We start from the raw sequence: 26,737 nt of genomic DNA on the forward strand, positions 1-26,737 counted from the left end.
TAGCCGGGTGTGGTGGCGCATGCCTGTAATCCCAGCTACTTGAGAGGCTGAGGCAGGAGAATCGCTTGAACTCAGGAGGCAAAGGTTGCAGTGAACCAAGACTGCGCCATTGCACTCCGGTCTGGGGAACAGAGCCAGACTCAGTCTCAAAAAAAGAAAGAAAGTAACAATTTTAGTTTTTAACATAAAACTTGGGCAGTTTTATTTTTGTCTTCTATAAAAATACCTCACATTGAATCAGTGAATTTAGTGTGTATTTCTTCCTCAAAGGATAAAAATCATATCTGTTACTTAGATGTGAATTTGAATGTCTTGTTTTAAGCTGTGAGATTTTCATGTTTTTTAGATGTGCTTAATTTTTAGGTGTTAAATGAATATTTTTGTGTAAGCTTCTAATTGCACAAATACATATATTCCTGTGTGTTTTCGTAGGTGAAGGTGATAAAGTAAAGTGCTTTCACTGTGGAGGAGGGCTAACTGATTGGAAGCCCAGTGAAGACCCTTGGGAACAACATGCTAAATGGTATCCAGGGTAAGATATTTAATTGTTCATTGTACAGGCAAGTTGGATAGCATGCAGTGGGAGACTTGAATTACTTTTTACCTCAACTATTTTTGCCTTCACTATGGCTTGAAATTCATGCTAGGTTTATAAAAATGAGCAAGGTTTATAAGCCTTCTCTGATGACCAAAAACATTCACTGCTTATGTGTGATATCTATAACATTCAGATTATCCCTTTTTTTTTTTGAGACGAAGTCTCACTCTCTTTTGCAGGCTGGAGTGCAGTGGTGCAATCTTGGCTCACTGCAACCTCTGCCTCCCAGGTTCAAGTGATTCTTGTGCCTCAGTCTCCTGAGTAGCTGGGATTACAGGCACCCGCCACTGCCACCATGCCTGGCTAATTTTTTTTTTTTTTTTTTGATATGGAGTCTCACTCTGTTGCCAGGCTGGAGTGCAGTGGTGCGATCTTGGCTCACTGCAACCTCCGCCTCCCAGGTTCAAGCGATTCTCCTGCCTCAGCCTCCCGAGTAGCTGGGACAACAGGCAAGTGCCACCACGCCCAGCTAATTTTTTGTATTTTTAGTAGAGGCAGGGTTTCACCATGTTGGCCAGGATGGTCTTGATCTCCTGACCTTGTGATCCGCCCGCCTCGGCCTCCCAAAGTGCTGGGATTCTGGCTAATTTTTGTATTTTTTAGTAGAGACAGGGTATCACCATGTTGGCCAGGTTGGTCTTGAACTCCTGACCTCAGGTGATCGGCCCGCCTCGGCCTCCCAAAGTGTTGGCATTACAGGTGTGAGCCACTGCGCCTGGCCTCTAGATTATCCCATTTCTTTTTTTTTTTGAGATAGAGTTTTGCTCTTGTCGCCCATGCTGGAGTGCAATGGTGCTATCTCAGTTCACTGCAATCTCCGCCTCCTGGGTTCAAGTGATTCTCCTGCCTCAGCCTCCTGAGTAGCTGGGATTACAGGTGCCTGCCACCACGCCCAGCTAATTTTTTATATTTTTAGTAGAGACAGGGTTTGACCATGTTGGTCAGGCTGGTCTCGAACTCCCAACCTCAGGTGATCCACCCACATCAGCCTCCCAAAGTGCTGGGATTACAAGCATGCTCCACCTTGCTTGGCCTCTAGATTATCCAATTTTTAAATACAGATTAGGAAATGTGTGCTTTTTTGTTGTTGGAAGTAGGCTCTTTTATGATCAGCGTGAGAGCCCATATTGCCAAGGAGATTCCTTAAGAAGCCATCATACCCCTAGGAAATATTAATGTATCTCATTATCTCTATGACATACAGTTGTTCACATTTTTTTTTTTTTTTTTTTTTTTTTTTTTTTTTTTTTGAGACGGAGTCTCGCTCTGTCGCCCAGGCTGGAGTGCAGTGGTGCGATCTCGGCTCACTGCAAGCTCCGCCTCCCGGGTTCACGCCATTCTCCTGCCTCAGCCTCCCGAGTAGCTGGGACTACAGGCGCCCGCTACCACGCCCGGCTAATTTTTTGTATTTTTACTAGAGACGGGGTTTCACCGTGTTAGCCAGGATGGTCTCGATCTCCTGACCTCGTGATCCGCCCGCCTCGGCCTCCCAAAGTGCTGGGATTACAGGCGTGAGCCACCGCGCCCGGCCCAGTTGTTCACATTTTAAGATCTCTGGTTGGAGTGTGGTGGCTCGTGCCTGTAATCTCAGCACTTTGGGAGGCTGAGGCGGGTGGATTGCTGGAGCCCAAGAGTTTGAGACCAGCCTGGGCAACATAGTAAGACCCTGTCTCTACAAAAAATACAAAAAAAAAAATTAGCCAGTCATGATGGCACACACCTGTAGTTCCAGTTACTCATGAGGCTGAGGTAAGAGGATCACTTGAGCTGGGGAGGCAGAGGTTGTGGTGAGCTGATGCCACTGCACTCGGCGCCACTGCACTCCAGCCTGGGCGACAGAGTGAGACACTGTCTCAAAAAAAAAAAAAAAAAACTAGCCGGGCATGGTGGCTTACGCCTGTAATCCCAGCACTTCGGGAGGCTGAGGCAGGGAGATCACTTCAGGTGAGGAGTTTGAGACCAGCCTGACCAACATGGTGAAACCCTGTCTCTACTAAAAATACAAAATTAGCCGGGCGTAGTGGTGCATGCCTGTAATCCCAGCTACTCAGGAGGCTAAGGCAGGAGAATCGCTTGAACCCGGAAGGCTAATGTTGCAGTAAGCCAAGATCGTGCCACTGCACTCCAGCCTGGGTGACAGAGCGAGACTCTGTCTCAAAAAAAAAAAAAAATAACAAAAGTCAAGGTGCTAATTTAATAACTTGTTTTAGAAAGTTCTCAAGTTGATATTTTTTGCTCTACTAATATTAGCATAGGTAGCATAACAGAGGGAACTTTTTTAACCTTAAAATGACAGTGGGATAGGGAATTGGGTAACATTTTACTTTGTGGCTCCTTAGAAGTACTGAAAAGCAAGTTAATGGAATTAATAGAATTAATATGATGGAGATTATATCTTTGCTTATACTTCACTAATTTATCAGCTACTAAAGTTTAATCTTTTAATTGTTTAGGTGCAAATATCTGTTAGAACAGAAGGGACAAGAATATATAAACAATATTCATTTAACTCATTCACTTGAGGAGTGTCTGGTAAGTCTCATATAATTTATATTTTCAAATTCACATTTCAAATTATAATTTATATTTTCATTATGTAGTTTATATTATATCATTTGTTTTATAGTTATTTCTTCATGTGATATTCACAGTATAGTATTATAAATCAATATATGTGTACATTACATCAAAACACAAATTTTAAGTTAAAAACAAAATAATAAATGTATGATGGGCTTTAAAGATGAGAGCTAGCTGGGCAGTGTTTCACACCTGTAATTCCAACATTTTGAGAGGCCAAGGTGAGAGGATTGCTTGAGCCCAGGAGTTTGAGATCAGCCTAGGCAACATAGTGAGACCCTGTCTCTACAAAAAATTTTAAAAACCAATTAGCCAGACTTGTGGTACATGCCTGTAGTCCCAGCTACTTGGGCGGCTGAGGCGGGAGGATCGCTTGAGCCCAGAAGGTCAGAGGATTCAGTGAGCCAGGTTCATTCCACTGTACTCCAGCCTGAGTGAGAAAGGGAAACCCTATCTCTTAAAAAAAAAAAAAAAAAAAAAGAGAGAGCCTAAAAAGTGTTTCTTATTCTTTACCTGAAGTAAATTTGTCAAAAGATAATCAGGATGAACTGATTTAAGTATCATTGTAGGCAAAAATGGGCTTGAAGAACTAAAATATTAAAAGTCCCTTAGCCTTCTGAAATTAGATCTTTGTATAATGTGCTTTGTACTCATAAGTAGTTTTAAGTTTTTGCAGACAATATTTAAAATCTCAAATATATCTAAATTGATAGGATGGGCGCTGGGCACGGTGGCTCACGCCTGTAATCCCAGCACTTTGGGAGGCCGAGGCAGATGGATCACCCAAGGTCAGGAGTTCGAGACCAGCTTGGCCAACATGATGAAACCCCGTCTCTACTAAAAATACAAAAATTTAGCTAGGCGTAATGGCGGGCGCCTGTAATCTCAGCTACTGGGGAGACTGAGGCAGGAGAATTGCTTGAACCTGGGAGGTGGAGGTTGCAGTGAGCTGAGATCACGCCACTACACTCCAGCCTGGGCAACAAGTGTGACACTCCATCTCAAAAATAAATAAATTAAATAAATAAATAAATTGATAGGATGAATTGAGGTGGCCAAGGCATCAGTAATAGGTGGAAAGAACCCTGGACTAAAATGGGAGACTAGAGTTGCCCCCAGTGACTCTACCTTGAAGTCATTCATTCTCCCTGGGCCTCAGCTTTTTGTTTGTAAAATGAAGGGATTAGATTAGATAATCTTATGACTTCCTTCTAGCTCCATCAGGCTATGCCTCTTGTGAATATTCATATATTGAATTGGAATAAAGCCAATTTATTTTAAATTTATGATTAATTTCACTTTTCAAATGGAAATGATTGCCTCTACCAAAAATAATTCTAACTTACAGTTCCTATTTCTGTTACAGGTAAGAACTACTGAGAAAACACCATCACTAACTAGAAGAATTGGTAAATATGCTTGTTAACTATCCTTTTAATTTAACTGCCAATTTATTTATTTATTTATTTATTTAGAGACAGAGTCTCACTCTGTTGCCCAGGCTGGAGTGCAGTGGTGCGATCTCAGCTCACTGCAATCTCTGCCTCCCGGGTTCAACCGATTCTCCTGCCTCAACCTCCCGAGTAGCTGGGACTACAGGCCTGCGCCACCATGCCCGGCTAACTTTTTATATTTTTAGTAGAGACGGAGTTTTACCATATTGGCCAGGCTGGTCTCAAACTCCTGATCTTGTGATGCGCCCGCCTCGGCCTTCCAAAGTGCTGGGATTACAGGCATGAGCCACCGCACCCGGCCTTTAACTGCCAATTTATTATAGTTGTTATTTATGGGGTGGAAAGATAAGCATGTTCTTCCAAGGTCACCATGATATATTTATTTCAGATGACATTACTATAAATTTAAGAATTTAGGCGGCCGGGCGTGGTAGCTCACGCCTGTAATCCCAGCCCTTTGGGAGACCGAGGCAGGCCAATCACGAGGTCAGGAGATCGAGACCATCCTGGCTAACATGGTGAAACCCCGTCTCTACTAAAAATACAAAAAAAAAATTAGCTGGATGTGGTGGCGCACACCTGTAGTCCCACGTACTTGGGAGGCTGAGGCAGGAGAATTGCCTGGCCTGAACCCAGGAGGTGGAGGTTGCAGTGAGCCGAGATCATGCCATTGCACTCAAGCCTGGCGACAGAGCGAGATTCCGTCTCAAAAAACAAAAATGAAAAAAATAATTTAATGAAGTACTTATAAATTGCAGTCAGAGGCTGGGTGCAGTGGCTGACACCTGTAATCCCAGCACTTTGGGAGGCCGAGGAGCTCAAGACCATCCTAGCCAACATGGCGAAACCCCATCTCTACTAAAAATCCAAAAATTAGCCGGGCGTGATGGTGTGCGCCTGTAATTCCAGCTACTCGGGAGGCCGAGGCGGGAGAATCGCTTGAACCTGGGCAGTGGAGATTGCAGCCAGCTGAGATCGTGCCAGTGCACTCTAGCCTGGGCAACAGGGCAAGACTCCATCTCAAAAAGAAAATAAAAGAAAAAAAAATCAGTCAGACGTGTCTGTATTAAAAATGTTAGTAGGCCATCAGATAGTTTTTCCAAGTTCAGGAGGAACACTGATAGGTTGCCTCATTGCCATCTCTGCTAAAATCACAAGAGAAAGGGTGAAGTGTCTTTTTGTACCTGGGGTTCCTTAAGTAAGCCAAAATTATTTCAGTTTTCTACTAGTGTGCCATTACCCTGATAAGCCCTAACCCACCTGCTTCTTTATCCCATACTGTCATTGTACCTTCCCCAGCTTCTTCACAGAGGTGTAAGTTTTGGTTTGTTTACCTCCTGTTACCTCATGGAGAAGTAGAGGTTTTAAAACTCAAAAAGTGGGCAGAGAAAGATATTATGCTAAGCAAGGAAGGTAATTGTTATCCCCACTTTTCAGATGAAGAAAGAGTCAGAGAGGTTAAGTGACTTGCGCACAATCACATTACAAATAGTTAGTGGAACTAGGACCACAAGCAAGGTCTTCTGAATCCTACATCACAGGGCAGATCTCATTTTCAACTTAGGCATATTTCAAAAGTAGTAGAAAGTTTAATTTAGAATATGTCTAGTGATTCCCCACTTCCTAAACTGGTACCATCATCTATTTAGTATCTTAAGAATTACAAGCGGCTGGGTGTGGTGGCTCACGCCTATAATCCCAGCACTTTGGGAGGCCAAGGCAGGTGGATCACCTGAGGTCCAGAGTTCCAGACCAGCCCGGCCAACATGGTGAAACTCCGTCTCTACTAAAAATACAAAATTAGCTGAGTGTGGTGCTGCACGCCTGTAATCCCAGCTACTTGGGAGGCTGGGGCAGGAGAATTGCTTGAACCTGGGAGGCAGAGGTTGCAGTGAGCCAAGACCACGCCATTGCACTACACCCTGGGCAAAAAGGAGCAAAACTCTACCTCAAAAAAAAAAAGAAAAATACAAAAATTACCAGGGCGTGGTGGCACACACCTATAGTTCCAGCTACTTGGGAGGCTGAGGCATAAAAATTTCTTGAACCTGGAAGGCGGAGGTTTCTGTGAGCTGAGATCATGCTACTGCACTCCAGCCTGGGTGATGGACCGAGATTCTATCTCAAACATAAATAAGTAAATAAATAAATAAATAAATAAATAAATAAATAAATAAAACATAAATTCAGCTCCATGACTGCTCCTGCAGAGCAGGGCTACCCACTACGCAGTGAGTGGCATTACTACTATTTAATTGCAGAACACTATCATTACCCCAACAAGAAACTCCATGCTCACCCATCAACAGTCATTCTCCATTGCCCACCCTACCCCTAGGCCAGGGCAACCAGTAATCTACTTTCTGTCTCTATGGACTTGCCTATTCTGGACATTTAATGTAAATGGAATAATGTAATATGTGTCCTCAAGGTGTATCCATGTTGTAGCATATATGAGTACTTCATTCTTTTCTATTGTAGAAAAAGAGTCCATTGTATAAATAATACCACATTTTGTTTATCCATTTGTCAGTTGACATTTGGCTTGTTTCTACTTTTTGACTATTATGAATGATGGTTCTATGAACATTTGTGCATAAGTTTTTGTATAGACATGTTATATACCCAGTTCTCTTGGGCATATATCCAGGGATGGAATTGCTGGGTCATGTGGTTATTCTATATTTAACCTTTTGATAAACTATCAGACAGATTTCCAAAGTGACTGCACCCTTTAACATTCCTACCAGAAGTGTATGAGGATTTCATTTTCTCTACATTCATTATCTGTCTTATTTATCACAGCCATTCTAGTGGATGTGACATGGTATCTCATTGTGGTTTTGTTTTGCATTTCCCTGATGATTAATGATATTGAGCATCTTTTCATGTGCCTATTGGCCATTTGTAAATCTTTGTAGAAACGTCTGTTCATCTCCTTTGACTTTTTTTTTTTTTTTTGAGACGGAGTCTTGCTCTGTCACCTAGGCTGGAGTGCAGTGGTAAGATCTTGGCTGATTGCAACCTCCGCCTCCTGGGTTCAAGCGATCCTCCTGACTCAGCCTCCCTAGTAGCTAGGATTACAGGTGCTCACCACCATACCTGGCTAATTTTTGTATTTTTAGTAGGGACGGGGTTTCGCTATATTAGCCAGGCTGGTCTTGAACTCCTGACCTCAGGTGATCCACCCACGTTGGGCTCCCAAAGTGCTGGGATTACAGGTGTGAGCCACCATGCCCGACCCATTTTTTATTTTTTCTTTTTTTTGAGACAGGGTCTTGCTCAGTCACCTGGGCTGGAGTGCAATAGTACAGTCATGCTCACTGTGGCCTCGACCTCCCTGGCTCAAGCAATTCTGCTGCCTCAGTCTTCCGGGTAGCTGGGACTACGGGTGTGCGCCACCACACCCAGTTAATTTTTGTATTTTTTATAGAGAGAAGGTTTCGCCATTGTTGCCCTGGTGGTCTCGAACCCCTGGGCTCAAACAATCTGCCTCCCTTGGCCTCCCAAAGTGCTGGGATTACAGGTGTGATCCACTGTGCCCAGCCTTGACCATTTTTTATTTGGGTTGTCCTTTTTCTACTGAACAGTCTAGGGGGATGGGTTATCTTTTTGTTATTGAGTTAAAAGAGATCTTTATATATTACAGTTCTTTTTTTTGGCTTCTTTTACTTTCTAAATGAAGATGATAGTTATTTATATATAAAAGTTCCTGTCAGATTTATGATTTGCAAGTATTTTCTCCCATTCTGTGGGTTTCCTTTTTTTTTTTTTTTTCCCAAGACGGAGTCTTGCTCTGTTGCCCAGTCTGGATTGCAGAGGCATGATCTCTGCTCACTGCAACCTCCGCCTCCCGGGCTCAAGCAATTCTCCTTCCTTAGCCTCCAGAGTAGCTGTGATTACAGGTGTGCACCACCATGGCTGGCTAATTTTTTTTGTATTTTTAGTGGAGATGGGGTTTCACCATGTTGGCCAGGCTTGTCTCAAACTCCTGACCTCGTGATCTGCCCACCTCAGCCTCCCAAAGTGCTGGAATTACAGGCGTGAGCCACTGCACCCGGCCACCTTTTTCACTTTCTTGGTGTTCTTCGAAGCATAAACGTCTTTAATTTTTTTTTTTTTTTTTTTTTGAGACGGAGTTTTGCTCTTGTTGCCCAGGCTGGAGTGCAATGGTGCCATCTCAGCTCACCACAACCTCCGCCTCCCAGGTTCAAGCAATTCTCCTGCCTCTGCCTCCCCAGTAGCTGGGATTACAGGCGTGCACCACCATGCCTGGCTAATTTTGTATTTTTAGTAGAGACGGGGTTTCTCCATGTTGAGGCTCGTCTCGAACTCCTGACCTCAGGTGATCCGCCTGCCTCGGACTCCCAAAGTGCTGGGATTACAGGCGTGAGCCACCGTGCCCAGCGAAACATCTTTAATTTTTATGACATCCAATTTATCTATTTTTCTGTGTGTGTTGCTCATGCTTTTAATGTCATATTTAAGAAACCATTGCCTAATCCAGGGTCACCAAGGTTTATACCTATGTTTTCTTCTAAGAGTTTTATGGTGTTATATCTTACATTCTGGTCTTTGATCCATTTTGAGTTAATTTTTGTATATGGTATCAGGTAGGGGTCCACGTCCTTTTTGTTTTTAGCAAGTTGAGTTTGAGATACCTGCAGGACATTGAAGTAGGAGGATAATAAAACCTTGTATAAAGGAGAGTAAGATGTTGCTGGTAGGGAAAGTGTCTGGAAAGACTTTTTTTTTTTTTCCGGAGACGGAGCCTCGCTCTGTCACCCAGGCTGGAGTGCAGTAGTGCGATCTTGGCTCACTGCAACCACCGACTCCCGGGTTCAAGCGATTCTCCTGCATCAGCCTCCCCAGTAGCTGGGACTACAGGCACATGCCACTGCGCCCGGCTAATTTTTGTATTTTTAGTAGAGACAGGGTTTCGCCATGTTGGCCAGGCTGGTCTTGAACTCCTGACCTCAGGTGATCCACCTCAGCCTCCCAAAGTGGTGGGATTACAGGCGTGAGCCACTGTGCCCAGCTGGAAAGACCATTTTTCAGAAGGGTCGATGAGGGAATGGAAGGGAGCCACCAACATCTAATTAGGTGGGCACAAGTAATGGAGCAACAAAACAAACTGAAAATAAAAACAAGTCAAAGATAGGAGAAGCAGGAAAGAGCAATGTCTAGTTGCCCTCTGGACATTTCCACCTAGAATGCATCTCTAAAAACCACTCAGACTGAATCTAATCCTGCACTTTTTTCTCCTGTATTGGTTAATAGTACCACAGTTCACAAGGTTGCCCAGTAATTTATGTTGTTCCTAAGCTCTTTGCTCTCTGTAATCCTTTTACATTTAATTAATCATCAAATTTGATGGATTCCACCTTTTTAATGTTGCTTCAGACTTTCCCACTTATTCTGCTCTAGTTCAGGCCCTTCCTTGTTTTTCAACTGGACAATTGTAGTAGTCTCCTAACTGGTCTTTTGTCTGTATTATAACCTGCCAACAGAGTTTTTCTTTTTGTTTGTTTGTTTTTGTTTGTTTTGTTTTTTTGTTTTTCTGAGACGGAGTCTCGCTCCGTCACCGAGGCTGGAGTGCAGTGGCGCGATCTCGGCTCACCGCAACCTCCACCTCCGGGGGTCACGCCATTCTCCTGCCTCAGCCTCCTGAGTAGCCGGGACTACAGGCGCCCACCACTATGCCCGGGTAATTTTTTTTTTTATTTTTTGGTATTTTTTGCAGAGACGGGGTTTTGAACTCCTAGGCTCAAGCGATCTGCCCGTCTTAGCCTCCCGAAATGCTGGGACTACAGACGTGGGCCACCATGCCCAGCCTTATCTTTTATTTTTATTTTTTAATATAGATAGGGTCACACTTTGTTGACCAGGGTGGTTTCAAACTCCAGGCCTCAAGGAATCCCCCTTGGCCTCCCCAAAGTGCTGGGATTACAGGTGTGAGCCACTGCACCCAGCCTCCTCTCTTTCAAAAAACATTTATTGAGCTATAATATACATACAGTAGCCGGGCGCAGTGGCTCACGCCTGTAATCCCAGCACTTTGGGAAGTTGAGGCAGGTGGATCACGAGGTCAGGAGTTCGAGAGCAGCCTGGCCAATATAGTGAAACCCCATCTCTACTAAATATACAAAAAAATTAGCCAGGCGTGGTGGTGCATGCCTGTAATCCCAGCTACTCGAGAGGCTGAGGCAAGAGAATTGCTTGAACCTGGGAGGTGGAGGTTGCAGTGAGCCGAGACGCGCCATTACACTCCGGCCTGGGTGACAGAGCGAGACTACGTCTCAAAAAAAAAAAAAAAAAAAAAAAAAATATATATATATATATATATATGATTTTATATATATATGATTTTATATATATATGATTGTGTATATATATATGATTTTGTATATATATATGATTTTGTATATATATATGATTTTGTATATATATGATTTTGTATATATATATGATTTTGTATATATATACACACGCACACATACACACATAAAGTGCTTAAAGTACCCTAATCGTAAGTTTTCTACTTGATGAATTTTAACATATATATGTTAAAATATATATTAAATATGTGTTAAATATATATTAAAATGTATATGTTAAAATATATATATTTATCTGTGTGACTATCCCCCAGATTAAGATATAGAACATTCCCACAACCCTAGAAAGTTCTTTCATGCTCCTTCCCCATCAGTACCCACCCCCAAGTTATATTCTGGCTTCTATTACCATAGATTAATTTTGTTTATTACCATAGATTAGTTTTGAAGTTCTTATAAATGGACTCATGCAGTAGGTACTCTTTTGTGTCATAATGATGAATTATGATTATGTTTTGCTCATTATATCTATGAGATCCATCCATATTGTCTGTGGCAATAGTTTTTTTTTTTTTTCTTGCTGTGTAGCGTATGAATATACCACAATTTATGTATCTGTTCACCTGATGATGGACATTTGAGTTGTTTCCAGTTTGGGGCTATTATAAATAACACTACTATGAATACTCTTGTGCATATCTTTGGCAGAGATATACACTCATTTTTAATACCCAAGAGTGGAATTGATGAGTCAGAGGGTATAAGTGTCCTCTCCTAGCACTTCCCTACACATGCTGTGTTCCTACTTTAAGTATCATAAAAACAAGTTTCCATTGACTTTCTTGCTTTATTCAGTCCTACCCGCTCTGCTACAGAAACGAAGTTTGAGAGCTAGGAAATTGACACATTCAAGGTTATAGACTGGGACTTCCCTGATTTCCCATCATTTTCCCCAAATAATTGCTAGTGACTCAGTAACAACATCCACTCTTTAAGTAACTTAGGTTAATTGTTAATGAGTACAGCTAGATTCAAAACAGTTCAGATTTTTGAAGCACTTAACCTTTTTCTTGCCTATTTTACCTTGCATCGTTTCAAACACTACAAAATACATACTCATTGCATTTACAATTAATTGTAAGATTCTGAAAGTGATTTTTCAGTGCCTGAATACTTCAAAAAATCTTCCCAAAGCAGCTTTGCTTTGCTGGTTTGTTTTTATTCTTTCGCTTGCTCCTTAATTTTTTCATTTTAACTATATTTTGCTATTGAGTTGTGATAATGAAAATAATTGTTTAAATTCTATGTTCTTTTTCCTCACCAATTTTTATTTCAGATGATACCATCTTCCAAAATCCTATGGTACAAGAAGCTATACGAATGGGGTTCAGTTTCAAGGACATTAAGAAAATAATGGAGGAAAAAATTCAGATATCTGGGAGCAACTATAAATCACTTGAGGTTCTGGTTGCAGATCTAGTGAATGCTCAGAAAGACAGTATGCAAGATGAGTCAAGTCAGACTTCATTACAGAAAGGTATGCATTGCTGTTTTTAAAAAGCAAGAAAGGGCCAGATGTGGTGGCTCATACCTGTAATCCCAGCACTTTGGGAGGCTGGGACAGGTGGATATGGACATTTTTTAAACGTAACCTTAATGCTGTGTGTTAGTCTGCTCAAGCTGCTATAATAAAATTCCATAGACTAGGTGTCTTAAACAACAGACTTATTTCTGACAGTTTTGGAGGCTCCAAAATCAAGGTGCTGGCTGATTTGGTTATTGATGAGGGCCCTCTTCCTACCTTGCAGATGGCTGCCTTCTCACTGTGTCCTCACATGGCATGGGTTGGGATTGGATGGGACAAGATGGAGCAAGTACTCTGGTCTCTTTTCCTCTACTTTTAGGAACACTAATCCCATCATGGGGGGGTCTCATCTTCATGACCTCATCTAAACCTAATTACTTCCCAAAGGCCTCATTTCCAAATATCATTACATTAATCATGGAAAAAAGATTAAAAATATGAGTTCTACCAGCCTGGACAACATAATGAAACTGTCTCTACAAAAAATACAAAAATTAGCCGGGCATGGTGGTGTGTGCCTGTAGTCCCAGCTCCTTGGGAGGCTGAGCGGGGAAGATCACCTGAGCCAGGGAGGTCAAGGCTGCAGTGAGCCATGATCATGCCACTACACTTCGGCCTGGGCAACTGAGCAAGATCTTGTCTCAAAATATATGTATCTCTCCTTTAAGGATGATGGACACTGTAGTGCTTGCCAACAACATCGAAGGTTAAAGAAGAAGTTTCAAACTGAGTACACTTTTGGGTACTTTACCTGTAATAGTTCTCTAAGCTCTTGACCATCCTCCCTCCAAAAAGATGAGAATTCTCCTACTGCTAAAAAAACTTAAACGTTTACTTATTTTTGACGCATTTAAGATCCTTTTGATCTTTAAGATATTTCAAGTGCTTTTGAAACACTATTCAGATAATCGTATAAGTTATGAAACAGTATGAACATTAATGATATTTAAAATTATATTCATTGATGTAAGAATCAATGGAAAGCTTCCAATTTTTTCCTTATAGATGCATTTATTTAAAACTTACACAAGCTCCACTTATCTTGGTGGTGGTAAAATAAACCCTTTAATTGTCATCTTTCTTTCTTTTTTTAATTTTTTATTTGTTTTAAGACGGAGTCTCACTCTGTCGCCCAGGCTGGAGTGCAATGGCACGATCTTGGCTCACTGCAACCTCCGCCTCCCCAGCTCAAGCGATTCTCCTGCCTCACCCTCCCGAGTAGCTGGAATTACAGGCATGTGCCACCACGCCCGGCTAATTTTTTGTATTTTCAGTAGAGACAGGGTTTCGCCAAGTTGGCCGGGCTGGAATTTTTCTACTATAACAGAAACACAAGCAATTGTGTCATTTTTTTCCTGCATCTTAAACACGCGCTTAATTGTTTGGCCATAAATTGTTAGTTTTCAAACCTTAATGTATCTGCAGCAGAAGGGTTTAGCAGGTTGTAATAGGAAGAGATCAAGAGACTGTGCATTAGGGAGAGTGTCTTTTCTCTATCTAACAGGAGTCAATGGGCGCTCATATTATCACTGAGACTACAAACTAGGATGGTGTGGGAAGGAGAGCCTAAGGGTTGGAATTCATTTGAACTCTCCTCAGTCTCACTAAATTGAGAGGCAAGTAATTGATACAGGCTCTCTACTCATGCTGGGACTGCTGCCTATTTGTCTTCCCAAAAGCTGATGAGGAAAGACTGGCACTAAGAATCTTTTAATTTTATATAAAATAAGGATGGGGCTAACTGAAGTGAAGCAGGTGAGGGTTATTAGAGAAAATATAACATTGTCACTTACTGAGAAATCCTAGATTTAGTGCTAAACTTTTTTGCCAATGGCTGTGTAACAGAGAATGCCCTAGTAAAAGGTCTTGTAAAAATAGTACCGAATCAGTATCTTTTTTTCTTTCTTTGAAAAAATTATGTAGTGTAAGATAAAGCCCTTTATTTAGTATATGTACTAAAGTACTTATTTTAATCTTTATGTGTATATATATTACTGTATATAATATAAAAATCAAATAACCCATATTCATTTCTTATCTGTCTTTCCATATGAATCTGCTCTAATAGTAAAATGAATAACATCAGTTTATTCTAGAAGAGGTTTTAAATAATTACAAATATTAGCAAATAACATCAAAAGTTATCTAGCCTTTATTGCTCATGTGCCAGTAACCTTCTGACCTAGAAGAGGGCTTTGTGGGGAGGAGAAGGGGAAAGGCGCTGTAGAGAAGTATGTAGAATCCAGTAGTTACCTTTAAGCCAAGAGGGAAGTAATTGCCAGTGGTAAACTACTGGTCTGAGGGGAAAAGATCTATGCCCAGAATATCACCATCTCAAGTTAGTGGCTTTATACAAGGATGAAATAATATAGAAAAAAATGAGATGATATGGTATCACAAACAATCAGAACCAAAGGAACCTTAAAGATTATTTTATAATTTTTTTTTTTTTTTTTTTTTTTTGGAGACGGAGTTTCACTTTTGTTGCCCAGGCTGGAATGCAATGGTGCAATCTTGGCTCACTGCAACCTCCACCTCCCGGGTTCAAGCAATTCTCCTGCCTCAGCCTCCTGAGTAGCTGGGATTATAGGCATGTGCCACCACACCCTGTTAATTTTGTATTTTTAGTAGAGACGGGGTTTCTCCATGTTGGTCAGGCCGGTCTCCAACTTCCAACCTCAGGTGATCTGCCCGCCTCGGCCTCATAAAGTGCTGGGATTACAGGCATGAACCACTGCACCCAGCCCATTTTATAACTTTTATGACCTTAATTGGGAACCTGAAGTACAGATGGGCTGTTGCCTAGGATCACGCCGATAGTTGGGAATAGAATTCAGATTTCCTGACTTCTGGTCCAGTGTTTTGGGGTTTGTTTCAGTTTTTTTTTTTGTTTTGTTTTTTGTTTTTTTTAGATTTTAAAAAATTGTGATAAAATACACATACAGTTTACCATCTTAACCATTTTTAGTGTATGGTTCCGTAGTGTTAAGTACATTTACATTGTTGCACAGTCAACCTCCAGAACTCTTCATCTTGCAAAACCGAAACTCTACATCCATTAAACAGCCAGGCGTGGTGGCACACGCCTGTAGTTCCAGCTGCTTGGGAGGCTGAGGCAGGAGGATTGCTTGAGACCAGGAGCTCAAGGCTGCAATGAGCTGTGATTGCACCACTGCTCTCCAGCCTGGGATACAGAGCAAGACCCTATCTTTAAAAAATAATAATAATAATAAAAACATGTTCATTAAACAACTCCCCATTCCCTCTCTTCCCAACCCCTGGCAACTACCATTTTACTTTTTGTCTCTATAAATTTGACTACTCTAGGTGTCAGTATTGTTGTTGCTTTGTTTGTTTGTTTGTTTCTTCCTTTTTGTGGAGAACGGGGTCTCACTATATTGCTCAGGCAGGTCTCGAACTCCTGGGCTCAAGCTATCCTCCCGCCTCTGCCTCCCTGAGAGCTGGGATTATAGGCGTGAGCCACCGCGCCCAGCCTGTTTGTTTGTTTTTAACTCGTTGTAGCATTACATCTAAAAGTAATGTGGAAATTACTTGTTCTCCTTTTGATTTTTTTGGCATGAAATACACACTTCATTCTGACTTTTTTTGGTGTTGATGCTTTCTTATAATATAAATCAGCTTATAGTGCCGTTTCTTTACTTGTATTTTTTCCTCTGCCTTGAGTACGTTTTCTCTATCTGTATACCTAGTCCCATTCCCCACTCTACCCCCAACTCCCTGAATCTACTTTGTGAACTCATGTTTCAAGGTTCAGCTCAGAAGTCACTTCTTTCAAGTTTTCTCCCGCACCCACAGCAGAGTTAGGAGCTCCTTCTTATCTACTCCTGGTGCTGGTAGAGTTTTGTTTTGTTTTATTTTGTTTTGTTTTGTTTTTCTTGAGACAGGGTCTCGCTCTGTCGCCCAGGCTGGAGTGCAGTGGCACACAATCTCAGCTCACTGCAACCTCTATCTCTCAGGTTCAAGCGATTCTGCTGCCTCAGCCTCCCGAGTAGCTGGGATTACAGGCATGCGCCACCACACCCAGCTAATTTTTTTTGTGTGTATTTTTAGTAGAGATGGGGTTTCACCATGTTGGCCAGGCTAGTCTTGAACTCCTGACCTCAAATGATCTGCCCGCCTCAGCCTCCCAAAGTGCTGGGATTACAGGCGTGAGCCACCAGGCCTGGCTGAGCATTTTGCTTTTTACACTATTTTGGGACTGGTTTCTGCCCTGCCCATTAGACCAAGCTTCTTAAGGGTAAGTGCTTTATCTTCTTATCTCTGATGCATTCCATGTTTGAGCCTATAGTTTTTATTATGCCCAAGAGGGTACTTTTTAAGAAGAAAGAGATTAAACAATCCTTTCCTCTACCCCCTAGCCAGAGAAACCTTTCTGAGACATAGATGTGATCATATCTGTCTCTAGTTTAAAACCCTTCACTGCCTCCCAGGACCCTTGGGATCAAGTCCAAACTCCTTTACGTGGCTCGCCTAATCTTTCATGATCAGGCACCCTTTTGTAGCCTCATCTCATGCTATTTTCTCAAATTCTGTGCCCAAGCTTTGCCTGTGCACTTGTAGGCCACGTTCTGTCTCTCTCCTTGGAGCTTGTTTATGCTGTTTCCTTTGCCTAAAACACTTTTCTCCCATTGCCCTTATCCCCCAAGGCCTCCTTCTCCTAGTAAACTCCTAATTCATTCTTTTGTACCCAGTTTTAGGTATAATTTCCTCCAGGAGGCCTTCGTTTATGCATGCATGCACACACACGCACACACACCCTTCCTGTGCTCTTCATAACACATTGTAATTACCTTTGTCATCATACCATTTATACTTTCCTGTTTGCTTGTGTTCTTTACTTGTCTATGAACTATTGGGGGCCTGAGGTTTATGTATTTGTTAATTGTATCCCTAGTACCTAGAACCTAGTTAAGTGTCCAGTAAGTATTTCTTGAATAAACTATTGTTTTCCAAACATGTTTTCAGAATAGTGTTCAGCAGGATGTTAAAAGGATGCCATGAAAAAGGAACCCCATAGTTAAATAGGGAAATGCCTTGTACATTTCTAAGAGGGAACATAGACTATACTGTCCTATATTGTACTGTACTGCCCTGTCCTGGATGACAGTGGTTCTCAAACGCCAGTGTGCCCAACCCCAGAAATTTTAGATTCTGTGAATGGAGCCCAGAAATCCGTGGTTTAAAAATGCCCCAGGTTATTCTCATGTGAGGCCATATTTGGAAACCACTGGTACATAATGATTATAAAGATGCTAAAATAAATAAATAGTTGTGATCACAAAGGTATAGTTAAAATATGTAATGCATTTGGAATAGTGCCTAGCACGTACTATTTATGCAATATTACTGGTAACTGCTGCTGCTGTTGTCATTATTGTTATATGTGACCATGAAACACATGTTTTGTGGCATATTTATTCACATTTCACAAAACTATTTTGGGAAAGGCTGAATTAAGCAAGTACTTCAGTGCCACCTATATGCTGATGACATCCAGATCTCTATCTCTAGCCCTGACTTCTCCTGACCTCAAGATTTGACTCTTCAGTTGCCTACTGGTTATTTTTATATGGGTGTCCTGAAAACACCTCAAAAATATCTGAAGATCCCAAACCTGTACCTCCTTTTATATTTCTTATTGGCATCACCATATCCTTGTCAGCCAAGCTAGCAATCTTGTAATCAACTTTAGTTTGTCTTTCTTCTTCAGCCCTCATATCCAGTCAGTCACCCAATCCTACTTGTCCCACTTCAGAAGTGTCCCTCAAATCCATCCCTCTATTTCTGGAATTAGTCGTGACCTTTCCATATGCTGCTCCTTTTACCTAACCCTTGTTTTTCTGCCTGGCAAATGACTGTCCATGCTTAAATGTCACTCCTCCACTTCCCTCCTCCCCCGATCCAGCCACTGCCAACCTGTGAAGCCTTCTCCAACTAGCCTGAGCAGAAGAACTTGTTTTCTCATCTTGTCCCAGAGCACTTTGTACATAACTTTATTATAGCACTTATCACTTTGTACTTTGTGCTTAACCTCCTAGCCTCATCTTACATCCTCTCCCACTAGCGTGTGAGCTATTTAAGAGCAGATGCCACGGGTGAGTCATCCTCATATCTCCCGGCACTTGTTGGGTGCTTGGCACGTAGTAGGGGCTCAATAAATGTTTTCAATGAATTTAAACAACTAAGAGAGTCTAAAACTAGCATAATTATTTTCTCTTTTTGCAGAGATTAGTACTGAAGAGCAGCTAAGGCGCCTGCAAGAGGAGAAGCTTTGCAAAATCTGTATGGATAGAAATATTGCTATCGTTTTTGTTCCTTGTGGACATCTAGTCACTTGTAAACAATGTGCTGAAGCAGTTGACAAGTGTCCCATGTGCTACACAGTCATTACTTTCAAGCAAAAAATTTTTATGTCTTAATCTAACTCTATAGTAGGCATGTTATGTTGTTCTTATTACCCTGATTGAATGTGTGATGTGAACTGACTTTAAGTAATCAGGATTGAATTCCATTAGCATTTGCTACCAAGTAGGAAAAAAAATGTACATGGCAGTGTTTTAGTTGGCAATATAATCTTTGAATTTCTTGATTTTTCAGGGTATTAGCTGTATTATCCATTTTTTTTACTGTTATTTAATTGAAACCATAGACTAAGAATAAGAAGCATCATACTATAACTGAACACAATGTGTATTCATAGTATACTGATTTAATTTCTAAGTGTAAGTGAATTAATCATCTGGATTTTTTATTCTTTTCAGATAGGCTTAACAAATGGAGCTTTCTGTATATAAATGTGGAGATTAGAGTTAATCTCCCCAATCACATAATTTGTTTTGTGTGAAAAAGGAATAAATTGTTCCATGCTGGTGGAAAGATAGAGATTGTTTTTAGAGGTTGGTTGTTGTGTTTTAGGATTCTGTCCATTTTCTTTTAAAGTTATAAACACGTACTTGTGCGAATTATTTTTTTAAAGTGATTTGCCATTTTTGAAAGCGTATTTAATGATAGAATACTATCGAGCCAACATGTACTGACATGGAAAGATGTCAAAGATATGTTAAGTGTAAAATGCAAGTGGCAAAACACTATGTATAGTCTGAGCCAGATCAAAGTATGTATGTTTTTAATATGCATAGAACAAAAGATTTGGAAAGATATACACCAAACTGTTAAATGTGGTTTCTCTTCGGGGAGGGGGGGATTGGGGGAGGGGCCCCAGAGGGGTTTTATAGGGGCCTTTTCACTTTCTACTTTTTTCATTTTGTTCTGTTCGAATTTTTTATAAGTATGTATTACTTTTGTAATCAGAATTTTTAGAAAGTATTTTGCTGATTTAAAGGCTTAGGCATGTTCAAACGCCTGCAAAACTACTTATCACTCAGCTTTAGTTTTTCTAATCCAAGAAGGCAGGGCAGTTAACCTTTTTGGTGCCAATGTGAAATGTAAATGATTTTATGTTTTTCCTGCTTTGTGGATGAAAAATATTTCTGAGTGGTAGTTTTTTGACAGGTAGACCATGTCTTATCTTGTTTCAAAATAAGTATTTCTGATTTTGTAAAATGAAATATAAAATATGTCTCAGATCTTCCAATTAATTAGTAAGGATTCATCCTTAATCCTTGCTAGTTTAAGCCTGCCTAAGTCACTTTACTAAAAGATCTTTGTTAACTCAGTATTTTAAACATCTGTCAGCTTATGTAGGTAAAAGTAGAAGCATGTTTGTACACTGCTTGTAGTTATAGTGACAGCTTTCCATGTTGAGATTCTCATATCATCTTGTATCTTAAAGTTTCATGTGAGTTTTTACCGTTAGGATGATTAAGATGTATATAGGACAAAATGTTAAGTCTTTCCTCTACCTACATTTGTTTTCTTGGCTAGTAATAGTAGTAGATACTTCTGAAATAAATGTTCTCTCAAGATCCTTAAAACCTCTTGGAAATTATAAAAATATTGGCAAGAAAAGAAGAATAGTTGTTTAAATATTTTTTAAAAAACACTTGAATAAGAATCAGTAGGGTATAAACTAGAAGTTTAAAAATGCTTCATAGAACGTCCAGGGTTTACATTACAAGATTCTCACAACAAACCTATTGTAGAGGTGAGTAAGGCATGTTACTACAGAGGAAAGTTTGAGAGTAAAACTGTAAAAAATTATATTTTTGTTGTACTTTCTAAGAGAAAGAGTATTGTTATGTTCTCCTAACTTCTGTTGATTACTACTTTAAGTGATATTCATTTAAAACATTGCAAATTTATTTTATTTATTTAATTTTCTTTTTGAGATGGAGTCTTGCTTGTCACCCAGGCTGGAGTGCAGTGGAGTGATCTCTGCTCACTGCAACCTCCGCCTTCTGGGTTCAAGCGATTCTCGTGCCTCAGCTTCCTGAGTAGCTGGAATTACAGGCAGGTGCCACCATGCCCGACTAATTTTTTTTTATTTTTAGTAGAGACGGGGTTTCACCATGTTGGCCAGGCTGGTATCAAACTCCTGACCTCAAGAGATCCACTCGCCTTGCCCTCCCAAAGTGCTGGGATTACAGGCTTGAGCCACCACGCCCGGCTAAAACATTGCAAATTTAAATGAGAGTTTTAAAAATTAAATAATGACTGCCCTGTTTCTGTTTTAGTATGTAAATCCTCAGTTCTTCACCTTTGCACTGTCTGCCACTTAGTTTGGTTATATAGTCATTAACTTGAATTTGGTCTGTATAGTCTAGACTTTAAATTTAAAGTTTTCTACAAGGGGAGAAAAGTGTTAAAATTTTTAAAATATGTTTTCCAGGACACTTCACTTCCAAGTCAGGTAGGTAGTTCAATCTAGTTGTTAGCCAAGGACTCAAGGACTGAATTGTTTTAACATAAGGCTTTTCCTGTTCTGGGAGCCGCACTTCATTAAAATTCTTCTAAAACTTGTATGTTTAGAGTTAAGCAAGACTTTTTTTCTTCCTCTCCATGAGTTGTGAAATTTAATGCACAACGCTGATGTGGCTAACAAGTTTATTTTAAGAATTGTTTAGAAATGCTGTTGCTTCAGGTTCTTAAAATCACTCAGCACTCCAACTTCTAATCAAATTTTTGGAGACTTAACAGCATTTGTCTGTGTTTGAACTATAAAAAGCACCGGATCTTTTCCATCTAATTCCGCAAAAATTGATCATTTGCAAAGTCAAAACTATAGCCATATCCAAATCTTTTCCCCCTCCCAAGAGTTCTCAGTGTCTACATGTAGACTATTCCTTTTCTGTATAAAGTTCACTCTAGGATTTCAAGTCACCACTTATTTTACATTTTAGTCATGCAAAGATTCAAGTAGTTTTGCAATAAGTACTTATCTTTATTTGTAATAATTTAGTCTGCTGATCAAAAGCATTGTCTTAATTTTTGAGAACTGGTTTTAGCATTTACAAACTAAATTCCAGTTAATTAATTAATAGCTTTATATTGCCTTTCCTGCTACATTTGGTTTTTTCCCCTGTCCCTTTGATTACGGGCTAAGGTAGGGTAGAGTGGGTGTAGTGAGTGTATATAATGTGATTTGGCCCTGTGTATTATGATATTTTGTTATTTTTGTTGTTATATTATTTACATTTCAGTAGTTGTTTTTTGTGTTTCCATTTTAGTGGATAAAATTTGTATTTTGAACTATGAATGGAGACTACCGCCCCAGCATTAGTTTCACATGATATACCCTTTAAACCCGAATCATTGTTTTATTTCCTGATTACACAGGTGTTGAATGGGGAAAGGGGCTAGTATATCAGTAGGATATACTATGGGATGTATATATATCATTGCTGTTAGAGAAATGAAATAAAATGGGGCTGGGCTCAGTGGCTCACGCCTGTAATCCCAGCACTTTGGGAGGCTGAGGCAGGTGGATCACGAGGTCAGGAGATCGAGACCATCCTGGCTAACACGGTGAAACCCCGTCTCTACTAAAAAACAGAAAATTAGCCGGGCGTGGTGGCGGGCGCCTGTAGTCCCAGCTACTCGGGAGGCTGAGGCAGGAGAATGGTGTGAACCCGGGAGGCAGAGCTTGCAGTGAGCCGAGATCTCGCCACTGCACTCCAGCCTGGGCAACAGAGCAAGACTCTGTCTCAAAAAAAAAAAAAAAAGAAATAAGAAAATGGGAAGCAATATTTGACATAGTTCTTTTTAGTCAAATCTACTTGTTAAAAAAAGGGTAGCAGTTTATTCATCTGTGAAAGGAAAATAATACTTATCTTACAAGGTTGCAAGAGCTCAAGGAGACCATGTATGTAAAGTTCCTGCTGTAAATATGAACTCCCATCCTAATACCCTTTTACCTCTCTGTGGGTTTGTCTTGACCTGGAAATTTGGGCTAAAACTTAGAAAAAATTCTTACATGATAACTCAGTGATGCTTACTCATAGTTTTTGGTGTTTCTCATAGATAAGATATAAATCAGCTGGGCGCGGTGGCTCATGCCTGTAATCCCAGCACTTTGGGAGGCCGAGGCGGGCAGATCACCTGAGGTCGGGAGGTCGAGACCAGCCTGACCAACATGGAGAAACCCCGTCTCTACTAAAAATACAAAATTAGCTGGGCGTGGTGGCTCATGCCTGTAATCCCAGCTACTTGGGAGGCTGAGGCAGGAGAATCGCTTGAACCCAGGAGGCGGAGGTTGTGGTGAGCGAAGATCGTGCCATTGCACTCCAGCCTGGGCAACAAGAGCAAAACTCTGTCTCAAAAAAAAAAAAAGATATAAATCACAATAAATAAATAGGTCAATACAAATGTTAGCCAGGCGTGGTGGCACATGCCCATAGTCGCAGCTACTCTGGAGGCAGAGGCAGGAGGATCACTTGAGCCCATGAATTTGAGGCAGCAGTGAGCTATGATTGTGCCACTGTACTCCAGTCTGGGTGACAGAGTGAGACCCCATCTCTAAATAAATAGGTCAAACCCTTAAAAATATTTAAATTCTTAAAAAATTGAAAAGATTATTCTTCTCAAATTTAGTTGAGCTTTCTAAGAGAAGCAATTGGCTTTTTCCCACTTCAATAATCATTTTCAGTTTGACTCATACAGTTAACACAATGTGAATTTCTTCCTCAGCATAACAGAGTTATAGAATGACAGGGCTGGAAGTGACCTTAGAGAGTATCCAGTTCTTTCATTTTACAGGTGAGGCAACTGAGACTCAAAGGTGATGTAATTTGTGCAAAGATTATAGCTAATTAGTAGCAGAGCCCTGACTGGGACATAGTTTGAAGGTGAAAAACTTCACCAAGCTACCTTTCTTGAAAGGTCCAAATGTTTATGTTTTCAACTACTCTTTCCACTGTACCATAACTTTCACTACATATTAAATGACACTTTATAACTAATATAATAGGACAATCATCAATGCATATATAGCCAGCCCTTCATATCTGTGGGTTTTGCATCCATGGATTCAACCAAGGAGGAATTGAAAACACTGAGAAAAAAAAAAAAGACCACACAATAAAAAAAAAAAATACAAAATAATACAAAGAAAAAGCCAAAATTGTCATACTGTTGTTAAGCAACAGTATAACAACTATTTACATAGCATTAAGGTTGGTGCAAAAATGCAAAAAAAAAAAAAGCAATTATTTTTAAACCAACCTAATATATTGTATTAGGTATTAAAGTCATCTGGACATGAATTAAAGTATATGATGCCAGCCTGGACAAAAGGCAAAACCCTGTCTCTACAAAAAATACAAAAATTAGCTGGGCATGGTGGTGTGTGCCTGTAGTCCTGGCTACTCCGGAGCCTGAGGTGGGAGGATCGCTTGAGTCTGGGAGGCAGAGGCTGCATTGAGCTATGATCATGGCACTGCATTCCAGCCTGGGTGACAGTGCAAGACCTTGTCTCAGAATAAATAAAGTATGTGATGAAGATGTGCATACATTATATGCAAATACTGTTTTTTTTTTTTTTAATTTAAACAGTCTCACTGTGTTGCCCAGGATGGAGTGCAATGGCACAATCTTGGCTCATGGCAAACTCTGCCTCGCAAGCAGCTGGGACTACAGGCATGCTCCACGGTGCCCAGTTAATTTTTTTTGTATTCTTAGTAGAGACAGGGTTTCACCATGTTGGCCAGGCTAGTCTTGAATTTCTGACCTCAAGTGATTCATCTCCCAAAGTGCTGGGATTACAGGCGTGAGCCACCACGGCCGGCTAATTTTTGTATTTTTTAGTAGTGACTGGTTTCGCGGTGTTGACCAGGCTGGTCTCGAACTCCTGATCTCAGGTGATCTGCCTGCCTCGGCCTCACAAAGTGCTGGGATTACAGGTGTGAACCACTGCTCCCGGCCTTGTGTGATTTTATCTAAGGGACTTAAGCGTCCTCAGGTCCTAGGGGGTCGTGAAACCAAAACCCCAGGGATAGCAAGGGACAATTGTATCTTCAAAGTAGACAAATGGCGCCGGGCACGGTGGCTCACGCCTGTAATCCCAGCAGTTTCCGAGGCTGAGGCAGGCGGCTCACCTGAGGTCAGGAGTTGGAGACCAGCCTGGCCAACATGCTGAAACCCTGTCTGTACAAAAATACAAAAATAGCTGGGCATGGTGGCGCATGCCTGTAGTCCCAGCTACTAGAGCGACTGAGGCAGGAGAATTGCTTGAACCTGGGAGGCGGAGGTTGCAGGGAGCCAAGATGGCGCCACCGCACTCCAGCCTAGGTGATAGAGTGAGACTCCCTCTCAAAAACAAAACAAAACAAAAAAATTAGACAAATGCTACATTAATGTTTGGGTGGTCAGATTCTACTTTGAATCTGAAGTTTGCAGATATGCCTATAGATTTTTGGAGTTTACCACTTTCTTATTCTGTATCATTAATGTAATATTTTAAATTACTATATATGTTACCATTTTTCTGGATTTAGTAAGAAATTTGCAGTTTTGGTTTGATGTAACAAGGGTTTTAATGTAATTTATGTTAGATTTTGCATTTTTTTCATTACTGTTATATTTTAACCTGACTGACTGATCTAATTGTATTAGTATTGTGAATAATCATGTGAAATGTTTTGAGACAGAGTACTATATTTGTGAATATAATTTTATGGTTTTTTTCACTTAGAACCTTTCTGTGTGGAAAACTAAGAAAATTGCTTTCTGCTGTATAATCTGGCATTCATTGTAGATTAAAGCTTATTTTTCTGTGAATAAAACGTATTCAATAAAATACTATTCTTTAAAATTATATCATACTACCTTGTATTTGTTTCACTTTCTTAGAAAAAATAAAATCACCCTCTTAAAAATACTGCAATGTAACCTCCTAAATATATCTTATGCCATTGTACGTAGGCGTAAGGTACACATTAGGTCATGCCATGTTTTAAAAGAAAAGACATCAGTTTTCACATTAATGTATGGAATTCTATAAGTGCATGAAATGTCAATTTTTAAAATGTATATATATATGAACAATGGTAACACCACTCCCTCCAAAAAGATATGCCTGGTTGTCTCAGGAGATAGTATACTCACTATAACAGAACTTGAACAGGCAAATAGCAATGAACCTAAAAAACCACTGCCCCTTTGAGGCAGGCAGCAAGGAAGGATATTTGTGAGTTTGCGGAAGCAACTGCCAGTGAGTTTCAGAAGCTGTGAGCAATCTGGTGGGATAAAGAATGAGGGAATAAAGAACCTTTGGCAAAAAGAATTTTTTTCTTTCTTTTTTTTTTTTTTTTTGAGATGGAGTCTCACTCTGTCTCGCAGGCTGGAATGCAGCGGCGCGATCTTTGCTCACTGCAACCTCCACCTCCAGGCTCAAGCAATTCTGCCTCAGCCTCTGGAGTAGCTGGGATTACAGGCACCCACCACCATGCCGGGTAATTTTTTTTTTCTTTTTGATACGGAGTCTTGCTCTGTCGCCCAGGCTGGAGTGCAGTGGCACAATCTCAGCTCACTGCAACCTCCACCTCCCGGGTTCAAGTGATTCTTCTGCTTCAGCCTCCCGAGTAGCTGGGATTACAGGTGCACGCAACTATGCCCGGCTATTTTTGTATTTTTAGTAGAGACGGGGTATCACCATTTTGACCAGGCTGGTCTTGAACTCCCAACCTCAGGTGGTCCACCTGCCTCGGCCTCCTAAAGTGCTGGGATTACAGATGTGAGCCACTGTGCCCAGCCTAATTTTTGTATT

General features: G+C 40.7%; 1 protein-coding gene across 7 annotated transcripts in view; it reads left to right on the forward strand.

The window, feature by feature from the left end:
• The window catches only part of XIAP (X-linked inhibitor of apoptosis), a 54,265-nt gene extending 28,479 nt beyond the window's left edge, over positions 1-25,786 (forward strand). For all 7 annotated transcript variants that reach the window (NR_165803.1, NR_037916.2, NM_001378592.1 and 4 more), the window contains 5 exons: positions 433-532; positions 3,052-3,130; positions 4,545-4,587; positions 12,307-12,507; positions 18,802-25,786. Coding sequence is in view for 5 of the 7 variants with exons in the window: in NM_001378592.1 (NP_001365521.1) it covers positions 433-532; positions 3,052-3,130; positions 4,545-4,587; positions 12,307-12,507; positions 18,802-18,995 (617 nt within the window). In the remaining 2 variants the exon portion in view is untranslated. The remainder of the gene's footprint in view (positions 1-432; positions 533-3,051; positions 3,131-4,544; positions 4,588-12,306; positions 12,508-18,801) is intronic.

This window comes from Homo sapiens, chromosome X, assembly GCF_000001405.40.
Source record: "Homo sapiens chromosome X, GRCh38.p14 Primary Assembly".
NCBI classification, from domain to species: domain Eukaryota; kingdom Metazoa; phylum Chordata; class Mammalia; order Primates; family Hominidae; genus Homo; species Homo sapiens.